This window comes from Homo sapiens, chromosome 20, assembly GCF_000001405.40.
Source record: "Homo sapiens chromosome 20, GRCh38.p14 Primary Assembly".
Classification (NCBI taxonomy): domain Eukaryota; kingdom Metazoa; phylum Chordata; class Mammalia; order Primates; family Hominidae; genus Homo; species Homo sapiens.
The window spans coordinates 44,727,893-44,744,690 of NC_000020.11; the positions used below are offsets into that span (position 1 = coordinate 44,727,893).

The following is a 16,798-nucleotide window of genomic DNA, read 5'->3' on the forward strand; positions in this document are numbered from 1 at the left end:
CTCACAAGGTGAAATCACATGGTCTTAAAGAAAGCCAGAAGACAGGCCTTCAAGTGATCCAAGAAACCCAATTCATATTAATAATAATTAACTTTTTTATTTATTTATTTTTTTGAGATGGAGTTTTGCTCTTGTTGCCCAGGCTGGAGCTGGAGTACAATAGCACGATCTCGACTCACTGCAGCCTCCCGGGTTCAAGTGATTCTCCTGCCTCAAGACTCCTGAGTAGCTGGGATTATAGGCGCATGCCACCATGCTCGGCTTTTTTTTTTTTTTTAAATATATTTTTAGTAGAGATGGGGTTTAGCCATGATGGTCAGGCTGGTCTCGAACTCCTGACCTCAAGTGATCCGCCCGCCGCCTCGGCCTCCCAAAGTGCTGGGATTACAGGCGTGAGCTACTGCGCCCAGCCAATAATTAACATTGCTTGAGCGCCTGCTATGTGCTAGGCACTAGCACTTTATACAGACCAGTGCTTCCCAGCGTTTTTGACCAGAGAAGAGCAGGGAGAATGAAGGCTGCCTCCCAGGGACTGGGGAGCATAGCCTGAAATCAACTAACCCAAGGGTGAAATTGTTCGAAGTCTCATGTTTTATTGTTTACAAACAAAACAAAACAAAAAACAAAAACAAAAAAAAACACCCAACACCAAATACATATATTTTACATTTTCCTCCATGGTCTACCTGTGTTTGTTTAAAAAGTAAAACTGTATTTCCATTAGGATCCAAGCAGGAAATTAGAAAACACTCTTGGTATTTAAACAGGGATTTCTTCTTATTAAACTAATTTTATTAAGGTATAATTTACCCATAGTTAAATATACAGATTTTAAGCATATGGTTTAACGAGTCTTCATAAACGTACACGCTCATGTAACCAACTCCTCAATCAAGGTATAAAACATTTTCATCATCTCAGGGAGTTCCCTCTGGCTCTGTTCCAGTTATCCCCCTGCTCCCCAAGGCAACCACTGCTCTGATTTCTATCACCATAGATGAGCTTTCGTGTTCTTGAACTTCTCATTAATACAACCATACAGCAGGTACTCTATAATGAATGACGTCTTTCACTCAACATAATAAAACAAAAGGAATTTAATGAGAGGACTTAGTCACCCATCTGAGAGGCCAAGTAGGGGACCGTGTGATGCAAGAGGAGAAATTCAACACCAGACCAGCCCTCGGGGCGGAGGGGCAGAGGGAGGGCAGAGCCCAGAGCTGGCACCAGCAGGCAGAGGAAGAGGACCTGGCAAGGCTGTCTGCTGGGAGCTGCAGCCGCTAAGGAGACACAGCCTCGCAGACCTAACAAAAAGTAGATGGAGGTGGGGAGACCTGCCCTGGCTTCTGCCTGCTGCTATCCCCCAGTTTCCAGTTATGCCTCCCATGAGTCGAACCTGCTGGGAAGGTGGAAGAGAGGGGAGCCTGGGAGATGCAGGACAAGGAAGGGCAGGAGGGTTCTGAGAATGAGGGCAATTCCCAGACACAGTGTTTGTAAATTACCCACCCCAGGTACGGTTGCTGGTCACAGAGGCCCCTGCTGCCCAGCCCCCAACACTTATCTCAGGTATCACCCCCTCCAGAAACCTTAGTTTGAGAATCACATGCTGAGTTTGAGCCATGTAACCTTCACAGAGCCCCTGCATGGCAAATATAACTAACTCCAGCTCAGGGATAAGGAAACACCCGGGAAAGCGAGCTGTCTAAAAGCTGGTCTGCAGCTGGGGTGGGATGCTAGTCCAACCTGAGTTTATCTGACTCTTGAGAATGGCTGTTGGTCTCTCACAGATTGAGAATTTCCATGGGTCTGGTTCTGCAAGGATAAACCCTAAACACATTTCCAGGCAAAATTCTGATAACATCCCCCAAAACAGGGAGAACACGGACAAGAATGAGGAATGTGCACCGAGGGACTCCCATACATAAGGCTCTCTCTGCCACGCACTCTGTCCACACCACTGCACGTCATCCTTGGGACATTCCTAAAGGAAAGTGCCACTAATACTCCCTGTTTAGAGATGAGTAAACTGAGACCCAGAGTGATTAACAAGTTACCCTGGAGTCGTGGAGCTGGGACTCAGGCCCATGACCTCACAGCTGAGCCGCCACTGTGCAGTGGTAGAGTGAGTGGGCTCAGCCAACCTGCCCAGGTGTGCATCCTGGCTCTGCTATTTCCTAGTGCTGTCATCTTAGGCAAAGTACTTAACCTCCTTGTGCCTCAGTTTCCCCTTCTTTAAAATGGGGATAATGGCAATACTCAACACAGAGGATTGTTGAAAGTGTTACGTGATTTACAAAAAAACTTAGGGCCGGGCGCGGTGGCTCACACCTGTAATCCCAGCACTTTGGGAGGCCAAGACGGGCAGATCACTTGAGGTCAGGAGTTCGAGACCAGCCTGGCCAACACATCAAAACCCCGTCTCTACTAAAAATACAAAAATTAACTGGGTGTGATAGCACACACCTGTAATCCCAGCTACTCAGGAGGCTGAGGCACGAGAATTGCTTGAACCGGGGAGACAGAGGTTGTAGTGAGCCGAGATCGCACCACTGCACTCCAGCCTGGTGGACAGAGCAAGACTCTGTCTCATTAAATAAATAAATAAATAAATAAATAAATATTGGAGGCCGAAAGATTGAGGGTCATGATCAACTCAGTATACCACTGGAAGCTATATGAGTAAGCAGCAGACTATTTCTCATAAATGCAGAATGTTGGCAAACTGACAAACTGTTTCTGCCATCCAGAAGGAATGCTGAGGGCAGTCACGCTCCAAGCATAGTGTTTCTTGTGATTAGGCCTAATTGAAACCTGTTAGTAACAATATGAATCTGTGATCAATCAACCAGCTAACCAGTCATTACCTCCTCCTCCCTGCTCATTCTACCCAATAAATAGGAAGGGCTGTGGAAGCTCAGGGACTGCCTTTGCTCACTAGAAGCAGGGAGTTCTCTTCTTCTTCCCCTGGCCCTTTCCTTTACAACAGTTTCTTTTGTCTTAAGTTTTCATTTCTACATTCGTCCCCTCGTTCAGTCCTGTAATGAAGTCTCAGGCAGTAACAGTAGTAACTGCTGTAATGACGGCCTCAAGTAGTAACAGTAATAACTGTCATAGTGACAGTCTCAAGTAGTAATTGTGGTAGTCTGCAACAAAATAAAATAAAATAAAATAAATTTTAGCAACCGTTATCCTAACTCTTGGCGCTTTAGTTTTTTGATCTGTAAAATGGGAATAAATAGTAGTGCCCACCCCACAGGATGGCTGTATAAAGTGAGTACCCGGCTGTGTGCAGTGGCGAGCACGCCTGTAATCCCAGCACTTTGGGAGGCCGAGGCGGGCGGATCACCTGAAGTCGGGAGTTCGAGACCAGCCTGGCCAACAAGGTGAAACCCCATCTCTACTAAAAATACAAAAATTAGCCAGGCGTGGTGGCACGCACCTGTAATCCCAGCTACTTGGAAGGCTGAGGCATGAGAATCACTTGAACCCAGGAGGTGGAGGTTGCAGTGAGCCAAGATCATGCCACTGCACTCCAGTCTGGGCAACAGAGCAAGACTCTGCCAAAAAAAAAAAAAATAGTGAGTATCCACTCCGCAGGGGTATTGTGAGTATTAGGAAGGTAATTCCTCCATGTTCTTCAACTGAAGCTATTATTATCATCCTGCCTGCAATTCTTGGCAAGTGTTGTGAAGGCAAAGACTGGGAATCCTCTTGTTTGTGGAGAAGAGGAAACGTGTCGGGGGCAAAGTCACAGGGGCAAACCAGGTTTACCCTCTCTGAAGCTCTCACGGCCACAGGTGCCCAGGCCTGGCCATTCCTCCATGGGAAGCTTCTGCACTCACTTCCTCAGTGCTGGCCTGGGTCTGCGGGGCAAGCTGAGTGTCCCGGGGCAGAATGCTTTCTGGAGAGGACTCCGCTACCAGCTGTGGCTGAAGGACCTGGCACAGGGCCTGTTCCTGGGGCCCTTGGCACACCATCCTCCTCCAGCCGAGAGCCGTAAGGAAGAAGTTTCCCTAGTGAAGGGCATCAACAGGCCCCAGGAGGTCCTCCTGCCTGCCAGGACACCCGTGGTCCTCCCCATCCTAACTAGTTACAATTAAAATGAATCTAGCAAACACAGACAGCCAGGCCCTCCCACGCCCTGCTCTGGGATCCAGGAACAACGACGGCGCCCAGGGGAGCCCACACACTTAAGGGGAGCAGCTTACAGTCTCACTGTTTATTGAGCAGCTACTGTGTTCTTGATGCTTTTGTAAACCAGAAAGTGTCTGAGACAGGTCTCAATCAGTTTAGACATTTATTTTTCCAAGGTTAAGGACACGCCCAGTAGAGAGGTCTGTGCCTTTCTCTAAAGATGACTTTGAGGGCTTCAGTATTTAAAGGGGAAAGCAGGCTGGAGGGGAAAGAAGGAGGGTCTGGAAATCCACATATTGCAAGAGAAAAAGAGCAGGTAGGGAAATTATGTATTCGATTATGTATTCGTCTCACGCTCTGTAACTTTACATAAGATAAGGTGAACACAGAGTGGCTACTCGTGGAGATACCTGGCCTTTTATCTGTGGCTCTCTGCTTACGAACAAAGGAAAGGCAGCTTGTTGCATGACTCAACTTTCAGCTTAGTTTTTTCCTTTTGGCAGAGTGAATTGGGGTTTTCATTTTCCTTTCACACTTTCTATACCTTCTCTTATTGAAAATGAGGTGGTTGCTGTGATCTGCATTTTACAGATGAGAAGCTGAGGCTTGAAGAATAGAATCACCACTCACAATCCAGGATGGGAAGTCAGAACCAGCTGAACCAGCGGCTAGCCCAGCCTCTCTCCCTCTCTCTCTGTTCCTCTCTCTTTCTTCTATCTCTCTATGTTTCTCTCTCTCACCGTTTCTCTCTTCTGTCTCTCTCTCTCTCATCCTCTCTCCTCCTCTCTTTCCATTTTGTTTCTCTTTTCCTTGGCTTTTTCTTCTTTCTTGAATTTTTAATGAAGTATAAAAAGTATACAAGGCCAGGCACGGTGGCTCATGCCTGTAATCCCAGTACTTTGGGAGGCTGAGGCGGGTGGATCGCGTGAGCTCAGGAGTTCGAGACCAGCCTGGGTAACGTAGTGAAACCCCCTCTACAAAAAATACAAAAATCAGCCGGGCATGGTGGCACATGCCCGTAGTCCAAGCTACACTGGAGGCTGAGGTGGGAGGATGGCTTGAGCCCAGGAGGCGGAGGTTGCAGTGAGCCGAGATTGCATCACTGCTTCTAGCCTGGGTGACAAGAGTGAGACCCTGTCTCAGAAAAAACAAAACAAACAAACAAACAAAAAGTATACAAATAAAAGTGTTCAGTTAGTCCAGTTTTCACAAATGAGCACACCCATGCAATCAGTACCTGGGTCAACAGCAGGACCATGCATTGCCTGCACCTCCAAAATCCACCTTGGTCTCCCTCTCTTCACTACCCACAAGATAATCACTATCCTGACTTCTAACAGATAGATCCATTGTACCTGACCAGAGGCAGCAGCCATCACCTGGAGACTTGTTAGAAATGCCCCATCCCAGACCTACAGAAGCTCTGGGAGTAGGGCCCAGAAATCTATTTTAACAAACCTCCCATCTCGTTAAAATCAGACACAGCTCCAGCTCGGGGGAGGACAGCAGTGATGTGCTGCTGCCTCCTTGTGGCATTTCCATGCATGAACAGCCGAGAGGCCACCTGCCAGGAGGAGGCTGTCTTCAAGGGGCAACTCCAACAGCCTCCCTGGGAGGTACCCCTCGACTTTCTGCCTAGGAAAGGGGAGGCAACCAATGGCCACCATGTGTCAGGTGCTAACGAAAAGGCCACCTGCCTCTCCATGGCTAAAATGTGGTCTAGGGTCTGAGGTGCATTCTCAGCCATCTGATTCTCAAGAATTCATCTTTTTTCACTTCCACTGACATGAATTATGACATCAGGGAGAACCCAAGGGCAGAAGTAGGGGCCAAGTCCTCTTCATCACCTCCAGGTTGGCTGACAAACTTGGTTGCAAGTGGCCCCATCACACTGGCCTGGTCTTTATCTATGGCCCCTTTGTCAGAGGCGTTAGACCAGAGCAACTCCATTTTGAGTAGGGGCTGGGTAAAATAAGGCTGAGTCCTACTGGGCTGCATTGCCAGACGATGAGGCATTCTAAGTCACAGGATGAGATGGGAGGTCGGCACAAGATACAGATCATAAAGACCTTGTTGATAAAACAGGCTGCAGAAGCTGGCCAAAACCCACCAAAACCAAGATGGCGACGAGAGTGACCTCTGGTAGTCCTCACTGCCACACTCCTACCAGCGCCATGAGAGTTTACAAATGCCATGCCAATGTCAGGAAGTTACACTCTATGGTCTAAAAAGGGGACACATGAATAATCCACCTCTTGTTTAGCATGTCATCAAGAAATAACCTTAAAAATGGGCAACCGGCAGCCCTGAGGGCTCTTCTGTCTATGGAGTAGCCATTCTTTATTCCTTTACTTTCTTAATAAACTTGCTTTCTCTTTGTGGACTTGCCTTAAATTCTTTCTTGCAGGAGATCCAAGAACACTCTCTTGGGGTCTGGATCAGGACCCCTTTCTGGTCACACCTCCACTGCCCAATGCCCCCTCACCACTGGCTTTCATGAAAAAGGTTTTAACGTCTTCGCTGGGCCAGGTCTTTTCATCCAGTCTCTGTTGGATGGCCAATAACCTAACGTGAACCTCTTCAGCAGCTTCTCCCCTGCCCTGAAGCCAGCAGGGGTGGGACACAGGTGACTGACTTGACTCCCTCTACCCTCTCAACCCCCTCACTACCACTCACCTCAAGGACACACCCTCCAGGTCCACTAACCCCCCTGCCTCTCTCAGTCTCTGAGACATCTCACTGCAGTCCCACTCCCCTGCCTTCCTCTCTTGACCCCTGCTCTGTGGCCATCTGACTAAAACCCAGAGTTGGAGAACCTGGTGGTATCACCGCTTACTCCAGATGGCTGATGATCTTTATGTTCTGGATCGGGTCTCAATCCAGACCCCAAGAGAGGGTTCTTGGAGCTCGCACAAGAAATAACTCAGGGTGAGTCCATAAAGTGAAAGTGAGTTTATTAAGAAAGTAAAGGAATAAAGAATGGCTACTCTAAGTCACAGGATTCTAAGTCACAGGATGAGATAGGAGGTCAGCACAAGATACAGATCATAAAGACCTTGTGGTAAGACAGGTTGCAATCAAGAAGTCGGCTAAATCAGAACCTGGTGGCAGAAACTGGTGCTGCGCTGCCTACTCCAGATGGCTGATGTGGCATCTGTGGAATGCAAAGTCTCCCTGAGTCTTTTCCCCACGTCAGGAAGATTGCTTAAGTATCAGACTGCAGTTGCCAGAATAAATCTAAATTTATTTTAAATGTTCATGTCAACAGTCATATTTGTAATGTTTTTTTCCTTAAAAAACATGTTGTACATATGGATGTTCGTCATTGCTATTTATACCTTTATGCCTGTCTTTATTAGCTAGGGTAAACCAGATCCCAGTAATAAATAAACCCGAAATCCAGTGGCATACCAAGGGACCAGGGGAGGTGGTAGTGTTACAGGAAGGGGGTCCCAGTCCAGACCCCAAGAGAGGGATCTGGATCTTGGAACTCGCGTAAGAAAGAACTCAAGGCGAGTCCATAAAGTGAAAGTGAATTTATTAAGAAAGCAAAGGAATAATGCTCCATAGACAGAGCAGCCCCGAGGGCTGCTGGTTGCCTATTTTTATGGTTATTTCTTGATGATATGCTCAACAAGGGATAGATTATTAATGCCTCCCCTTTTTAGACCATATAGGGTAACTTCCTGACGTTGCCATGGCATTTGTAAACTCTCATGGCGCTGGTGAGAGTCTAGCAGTGAGGACGACCAGCGGTCACTCTCGAGGCCATTTTGATTTTGGTGGGTTTTAGCCGGCTTCTTTATTGCAACCTGTTTTATCAGCAAGGTCTTTACGACTTGTATCTTGTGCCAACGTCCTATCTCATCCTGTGACTTAGAATGCCTTAACCATCTGAGAATGAAGCCCAGCAGGTCTCAGCCTTATTTTACCCAGCCCCTATTCAAGATGGAATCGCTCTGGTTCAAATGCTTCTAACAGTGGGAGTTTTCTCCCTGGTGAGAAGGAATATTTTAACACTAATGTTTAGAATTGCTGGCATGTGGTGATAATAAAAAGCAGATTGACTTTTAGACCTTTTCATTACTGTTTTAAAATTCTGTACAGACAATGTACCCCTTTATCACCTGCATCCACTTCCACTACCACCAGCGCCATTGGAACGTCACTGCCAAAATGCTTACTAGCCAAAGCACAAAGTCTATGTGTGTTACGTAACATTCCCTATGGGTGCTTCTGCTTGGTGGGCTCCCCTACATGGTGATACAGGGACTCAGGATCCTTCGTCTAGGGCTCCTCCTTCCTCTCTCCTTCTCCCAATCATCTGCATCCAGTAAGGCCTGACTAGGTCAGGGAGGAAGCCCAGACAATCAATTCATGGAGAGCCGGAGCCAGGAAGTTGCACACAGAACTTCTGCTCTTGTCTCATTGGTTAAAACTCAGTCACATGGTCACACCCAACTGCAAGGGAGGCTGGGAAATGTAGTCTATCTACATTTCATGTGCTATCACAAACATCCATCAGTCTTTGCCACAATGTCTTAAATATTTCACAATAAAGAAATGTCAAATGTTTGTGTTAGACAAGAATGTGGATAAACTACCTTCTTTCTCTAGTATAGGAATTTTACCATGGGACAGATAGTCATGGTTCAAAGTCATGAAACAAATGATCTCAAATTTTATACTGTCCCAGTGACCAGAATGCTGAGTTCACAGAGCTTTCCACTGCCTCTTTCTCCTACTCAGATGATTTCCCTTCTATCTGAGCACATGCCTAGACTACATTTCCCAGTCTCCTTTGCAGCTAGGTGTGGCCATGTGACTCAATCTTTACCAATAAAATATGAAGGGAAGTGACATGTGCCACTTCCTGACCTGAGCCTTACAAGTTTGTGTGCCTGCTTCGAGTTCTTTCCCCTTCCCATTGGCTGCAACCCTCTGTGCCCCAGCTTCCACTGTGCAGACAGGAATAGTATCCTGGGGCAGTGCAGTGATTCTCAAACTTGCAGAATCACTCGGAGGGCCTGTAAAGACACAGATGGCTGGGCCCCACACCTAAAGTTCCTGATTCGCTAGGCCCAGGATAGGGCTGGAGAATTGACATTTCTAACAAGTTCCCAGGTGCTGTTGAAGCTGCCAGTCCAAGGACCACTCTGGAAACCACTGTCCTAAGGAATGATGGGGTGCACTATGAAGAAACCTGGGTCTCTGAGTGGCCCCCTGGATCATAGCTGCCTTGACAACTTGGCAGCGCAGTTGAAAAAGAAGTAAACTTTTGTCTTCTTTAAGTCACTGCACTGCTGGGCATCTTTGTTACAGCAGCTTAACCTTTAACCACACTAACAGAGTTGGGATTCTGTCACTTGCAACCAAGAGTCCTGACCAATACAGACTCGAAGCTTAACTTCAGTAAGTTCCGCCACTAAGAGAGTTTGCTTCTTTTTTCCTGCTTATCCCAAACCCGCAGTTTTTTCATCTTACCTTAGTATTGACCAGGATTCCGGAAGGAGATATGCACATGCACCAAGCCCTAGGAAGGACCTGGAAGGTGGAGAATATTCCACTATGCTACAATCTTTTCAAACATTAACATTATTATTATCTCAACTACTTGCCTGAGTCCCTTGAACACAGGCCCAGCTCTGAAATGTAGTTGCCATGGGGTCTGGAAACAGCCCAGACACCCACTCCTCATTGGTGGGTACCTCTTGTGCTGTTTTCCTGGCTCTAGGTGAACATTCACACCGTGCAGGTAAAGAAGGGTGCAAATGCAGGTTATGGGGACTCGTGTGGCTCAAGCTCTACCTTGGAATGTGTGGCTCAGAGCCCTGGGGATCAAGCTTGGCAGTGGGAGAGGAGGTGGGGGGAAGGTTCCATGGCCCTGAGAGAAGAGGACTCACAACATCTTCAGGGCTCTGTTTCCTGAGGTTAATGGGCCCTCAGCAAAGCACTTAGAGGGTGTTTCTGTGTTTCTCTTGCCTACTCCTCTGCCATGAATAGGTGGGCCACAATGGGGTCCATGTAGAATAGTGTTTTTCCTATGGTCATTTAGCAAGTCTTGGACAGAGTCCATTTGAGAACCAGGCCTCCTGTCTCCCAGCCCAGGGATTTAAAAAATTATCCCATCCTAGTTTGGAAAGCAGCCATGTCCCGAACTGCAATATGGGCTCTGGCCTTTGGAGGACCAGAGAGAGCCTAGCAATGGCCTCTTCCACGTCCTGAAGAAAGTACTGCAGGGGGTGGGCACAGTGACTCACGCCTGTAATTCCAGCACTTTGGGAGGCTGAGGAGGTTGGATTGCTTGAGCTTAGGAGTTCGAGACCAGCCTGGGCAACATGGCGAAACCCCATCTCTACAAACAATACAAAAATTAGCCAGGCATGATGGCTTGTGCCTGTAGTCCCAGCTACTTGGGGGGCTGAGGTGGGAGGATAGCTTGAGCCCAGGAGGCAGAGGTTGCAGAGCCAAGATCGCACCATTGCACTCCAGCGTAGGTGACAGAGTGAGACCCCTGTCTCCAAAAAAAAAAAAAAAAAAAAAAAAAAAAAGTTCCTGCAGGCATGATATGGTGGTATTTGACACCTCTTGTCCGTCCTTGGCTTTGGGGCTTTAGCTGTAAATCTGAGACAATAGGAAAAGTCCCATTTAAGAGTCTCTTACATGTGTGTCATTTAACTTAATCCTCATGACAGCCTTATATGGGAAGTGTATTAAAGAGGGTAATGCTAGTTGCTATAGCGAACAGCCCCCAAGATCTAGTGGCTTAACACAATAGCAGTTTATCTCTTACCTAATATTGCAAGGCAGGTGTTTGTTCCTGGTTGGAGAGATTTCCTTTACGTGGTGATCCGGGTGACTTCCATGTTGCAGCTTTGCCATCCTGCAGGGCTTTGGGTTCTCTGCATCTAGACAGACAGGGATGGAGAAGCTCACCTACTTCCTCGAGGCCCTGCCTGGAAGTGACACTCACCACTCCTGCTCACATTCCATTGGTGGAGACTAGTCACATGGTCACACCTAGATGCCAAGGATGCTGGGAAATGTAGTCTCCAGTGGGGCACATGTCTTCCAGAGACAATTCCACACTATGGAGTCTTTTCCAGAGTTAGTGCACAAAGTCCTCTTTACTAATCTGTTTAACCAGCTTGCCAGGCTAACCAGCGCTCTCCATGCTCTCTGAATGCAACGCTACTGCCCCAGGCATACTGAATGCTTATGGCTAGTAAGCCATTCCCTAGGCCCCTGGTCGCCTTTGGCTCTTGGCCGTAGAAGAGCATGCTTGCCAACAGTCTGCTGGGTCTGTTCCCAAATCAGTTTGCACACAGCACACTTAATATTGTAACAATGTAACTGAATTAGATATTCCATAAACTGATGAAATATGAGTGCAAAAGGAAGAGATTTGTTTTTCTGAAAACTGAATGAAGACTGGTTGCTAAAAAGAATACTGTCAAATTAGGTGTGGAAGAAACAACTACAAAACATCTAGAAAAAAAAAAACCCACAAGAATCTAGAGGGATTCTGCACTCCAGTTGCCATACAAATGTCTGCAGGTCCTTGCCCCACTTTAAAGAAACCAGAATTGGCCAGGGACGGTGGCTCATGCCTGCAATCCCAGCACTTTGAGAGGAATTACAGGTATGAGCCACTGTGCCCAGCCCCTGCAGGACTTTCTTCAGGACATTATACCAGCTTTCCTTCCCTCAAAAGCCTCCTTAGCCTATATAAAGCGAAGATTATGAATAAATGTTAAGGGCAGGTTTCTGGAACCAGACAGCCTGTATTTGAATCAAGCAGTCCTCCTGCCTCAGACTCTCAAGTATCTGGGACAATAGGCTCACACCATGGCACCTGGCTTGAAATTTCAACTTAATTCAATTTTAATTAATTTAACTATAAATGGCCACATATGGTTACTGGCTAAGGCATTGGGTAGGGAAGCTCTGTGTTACACTAACATTAGCACATGTATTTCTTCACGTCTCAGGCTCTTTCTTTGCCTTGACTCTTTCTAGCCCATGATGTCTTGTGAAATGCAAGTCCTGCCCCCGTTGATTCAGACAGACAGCTCTTGATTCCAACATATTATGCTGACTGGGAAAGGGAGGGGTGGTCCTTGGCAGGAGGAAAAGGGACAGGCCTCTGTCTGTAGCAACTGGGCTCAAATTGCCATATGGCAGCAACTGCCACCTGTAACACTGCCATGCTAAGCTCCTCACTGGCAGGGAAGGGCTGCTGTCAAGAGCAAGAGCTCAGCAGCTGGTTCCCCCTCTCCTTGGAATTGTGACTTTGAAAAAAATCTCTGCATACTTCTGAGCCTCAATTTCCCCATCTATAGGGTGGAATTAACAATGCCTACTGTTGTTCTGAGGATTAAATGAAGTGAGGCCTGCTTTGTGCTTGGATCATACTAACTACTCAATCAATGTTCTCGTTTACTCTAACTCTCAGAGTCACCTTCCACTCAGACCAAATAAACAGCAGGGGAAAAAATAGGGTGGGATGGACAGAGAGAAAATGTTCTTTTAAAAAGTGTTTTATTGGCCAGGCACAGTGGCTCACACCTGTAATCCCAGCACTTTGGGAGGCCAAGGAGGGTGGATCACCTGAAGTCAGGTGTTTGAGATCAGCCTGGCCAACATGGTGAAACCCCATCTCTACTCACAATACAAAAAAAATTAGCTGTGCATGGTGGTGTGTGCCTGTAGTCCCAGCTACTCGGGAGGCTGAGGCAGGAGAATCGCTTGAATCCAGGAGGCTGGGGTTACAGTGAGCCGAGATCGTGCCATTGCACTCCAGCCTGGGCAACAAGAACAAAACTCCATCTCAAAAAAAAAAAAAAAAGTGTTTTATTGTGAAAATTCTCAAATATACATGAAAGTAGAGAGAATGGTTTAGCAAACCTCTATACTCCTATCACTTAGATTTTCAAATCTAAAACAAACCACAGTAAAGGTTTTTTTGTTTTGTTTCTGTTTGTTGAGGCAGGGTCTCACGCTGTCACCCAGGCTGAAGTGCAGTGGCTGATGGACCGACCTCCCCAGGCTCAGGTGATGTGATCACGGCTCACTGAAGCCTCGACCTCCCAGGCTCAAGTAATCCTCCCACCTCAGCCTCCCGAGTAGCTGGGACTATAGGTGTGCACCACCATGCCAGCTAATTTTTTTGTATTTTTTGTAGAGACAAGGTTTCGTCATGTGACCCAAGCTGGTCTTGAATTCCTGGGTTCAAGTGATCTACCCACCTCAGCCTCTCAAAGTGCTGGGATTACAGGCATGAGCCACCACACTCAGCCCAGCGTAAGGGTTTTAATAACTCCATTAACTCAGAGATATGGATCCTCATGAGGCTGAAGAACAAACTCTCAGTGGCTCCAAGGAAATGGTCACAAACACATGTTAGGACCTCTCTGAGCAGCCCTGCCTAAAACCCGTTAGAGACAGAGTCTTGTTCAGACAATTGTCATTTGTCCCCCAAATAATATCCTCATCGGCCTGGGAGCAGTGGTTTCCCCCACTGGGTGTGGCTATGTGTTTTTCTGGTGATACTCAAGATTCCATCTCTCTGGGTCCCCCAAACCGTATGTTTTGTCTTTCAGTGCCCAGAAAATTATGAGAGACCCCAAACTCCTACCAGTAACGTTGCTTAAATTAGCAAGAGACAGCTTTTAATTTCTTGTAACCCAGATCCCTAAATGACAGTCAGGCTACAGAAAAGCCACAGCGGCCACCTCTAAGGAGCTGGCACCTACTGTTCCCTGAGGTTAAAATAATCCATTCTTTCAGGAGAGAGACAAGAGAGAGATGTTATTAGGGAACGTGCCAGATCTTCTGGCTTTCTGGAAAATTACTGGGCTATAGTCTAACTATTAGAAATCAATCCCTTAAGATCCCAGTAGCCCTGGGGAATAGGCAGTGTGGAAAAGGGCAAAGAAGAAATTAATTGGGTGGAGGACAGTACTAACATTTGCTGGGCATACTCTGTGCTGAGCAGTTCTTCATACACTCCATTTAATCCTCACGGGAACACTGTCAGGCAGATATTCCTAGCCCCAGGTCACAGACAAGGAAACTGAAGCTCAGAGAGGTGAAGTTACTTGCCCAAGACACAACCAAGGTCTGGCTAACTCTAACACCCATGTTCTTCTTTGCCACTGCCCTACCCTGTGTGGCCTTAGGTGAGTCTCTCTCTCTCCTTCTGAGCATCAGTTTCCTCTCCCTGAGATGGGAATGGCTTGCCTGGCTCACAGAGGCTTTGGAAGGATCTAGACTCCTAAGTGCTTAGAAGCATGCCCAGCACCCAGCCTGGGACTGGGATTGCCTTTTTTGTCATCCTCAAAGCTGACAACCTTGGAGCTCTGAAAGAAGAAAATCCAAGGCCCCGCTGAGGGACGCGGGTGTGCCTCTGGGGCGATGGGACAGAGGAAAATCACTGGGTTCCCTCAGGTCTCCAAAGGAGGAAGGAGGAGAGGAGGCAGAGGGAGGTAAGCTGAAGGGGGAGGTGCCTCGGGTGTTGCTGTTTTTGGTGACTGCTCAGCTGACAGCTTTCCAACCTGAGAAACACACATACACAAAGTCTAACCTCCTCTGGCTTAAAATAGAGCCACTGAACCAAAAATGCCAAGCACAGGGCAGAGTCATCTGCCTGACGGAGCCAGACAGCTCCCCCATGGCCCCAGTAACATCCACCCCCAGTGGGCACACCTGACCAAGCGCCTCTCAGCTGCGCATCATGGGGCCCTCACAACAGTGGGCAAGCAAAGCCAGCCACGGATCCTCGGCCCCATCCCGGAGACAAGGCAAGTGAGAGCCAGAGAGGCGATGGGAGGGGGATAAAGCCAGCAGCATCTGGCCTGACAAGGATCATGACCTGGGGAACCGGACAGCCCTGAGTTCAATCCTGGCTCAGCCACAGCCTGGCTGGGAGGACTTGGCAGGTTAAGTATCTCTTGGCAGGTTAAGTGCCTCTGTGTCCTGGGCTGTAAGGTGAGAGTCCTGTGAGTGATGTCTGTGATTATGCCTCGCACAGGCAGAGTGTTTGGCCCTGTCCCTGCTTCTGGAAAAAGAATTTTCGACATCTGCACACAGACAGTTGTGAAAAAGGAGGAGAAGCAGCTACTGGCTAAGGGGCACCTGGATAGTGACACAAAACAGCTTCTATAATCCTCTACATGGTCCTATGGGGTGAGGGTCATTACTACCCCCGTTTCTCAGATGAGAAAACCAAGGCACAGGGAAGTACAAGTGTTCTGTTTATGGACACCTAGTGGTATGGTTTGGCTCTGTGTTTCCACCCAAATTGCATCTCCAATTGTAATCCCTGCGTGTTGAAGGAAGGACTTGGTAGGAAGTGATTGACTTATGGAGGCAGTTTTCCCCATGCTGTTCTCGTGATGGTGAGTGAGTTCTCACGAGATCTGATGGTTTAAAAGTGTTTGGCAGTCCCCCTCCTCTCTCTCTCTCCCGCTGCTATGTAAGACATAGCTTGCTTCCCTTTGGTCTCTGCCATGATTGTAAGTTTCCTGAGGCCTCCTCAGGCATGTGGAACTGTGAGTCAATGAAACCTCTTTCCTTCATAAATTACCCAGTCTCAGGTAGTTCTTCATGGTCGTGTGACAACAGACTAATACACCCAGCTAGGAAGTGGAGGAGCTGGAATTCAAACTCAGGTCTTATTGACTCCAGCTGTGTCCACAACCATGCCCTCATTAACTCTCCCCTGAGTGGGCCCTGCCCTTCCCCTAAGATCAGGCCATTCCCCACATCCCACTGTCTCCACAAACTCTTTTCGGGCTCTTGTTGGGCTGTGGGTCCTTGGAGCCCCACTCACTCCGACTCTGAGACTTCAGCCCAGGTTTCTGCTCCTCTGAAGTCTGAGCAGAAATCGGAATATTAAACTTACTGATGCTGTTGCTAAAAATCAGGCTGAGGTAGTGGCACCAGCACGCTGCTTCCAGCCCACTGAGCTTCATCCTGCTTCTCGGGAGAAGAAGGGGTCCAGGCCCTCTCTACCAGGTACTGGGGCCCAATTCTGCCTGGGAACTGAGTCGGACAGGCACTGGGTTGGACATCCCTACAGGCCCGGGCGTCTGCTCACTTGTGATATCTGTAACAGTGGCTCACACTTCTAAACAAATCCTCAGGGCCAAGCTCAGCTCTCCGGCTCCACATCTACTGGTTCATTTAATCCTCACACCCACTGTATTAGTTCCCTGTTGCCACTGCAATAAGTTATTACAAACTTAGTGGCTTAAGGCAAATGTATTATCTTCTAGTTCTGTAGGGTGGAGGGCTACACAGGTCTCACTGGGCTCAAATCAAGGTATTGGCAGGACTGAGTTCCTTTCTAGCGGCTTCCATATGGAAGTATGTCCTCCTCTGGGACCTGGAGGGCCTAGGCGGCAGGCTGGGCCTCAGGGGCTTAACATACGTCAGCGACTTAATACAACAGAAGCTCAAAACTGGGGCTCCTGATTGGGGGTTGGGGGACAACCTTGCAATGTGTCATTCAGCCCCAGGTTTTTCCCACCTTGTGGGCTCCCTCTCTTCTAAAGACTTTAGTTCTCTGCATTCAGCCGTCTGGTGGGGGAAAGAGATGGAGCACGTGTAGGGCAGGGTTTTATGGGCCAGGCCTGGAAGTGGCATATGTCACTTCTGCCCA

General features: G+C 47.9%; 1 long non-coding RNA gene across 1 annotated transcript in view; it reads right to left on the bottom strand.

Moving 5' to 3' along the window:
• KCNK15-AS1 (KCNK15 and WISP2 antisense RNA 1) overlaps positions 1-16,798 on the bottom strand; it is a 34,366-nt gene that overhangs the window by 16,031 nt on the left and 1,537 nt on the right. The window contains exons 2-3 of the long non-coding RNA NR_132377.1: positions 10,928-11,042; positions 9,619-9,678 (exon numbers count right to left, since the gene is read on the bottom strand). This is a non-coding gene — a long non-coding RNA (KCNK15 and WISP2 antisense RNA 1). The remainder of the gene's footprint in view (positions 1-9,618; positions 9,679-10,927; positions 11,043-16,798) is intronic.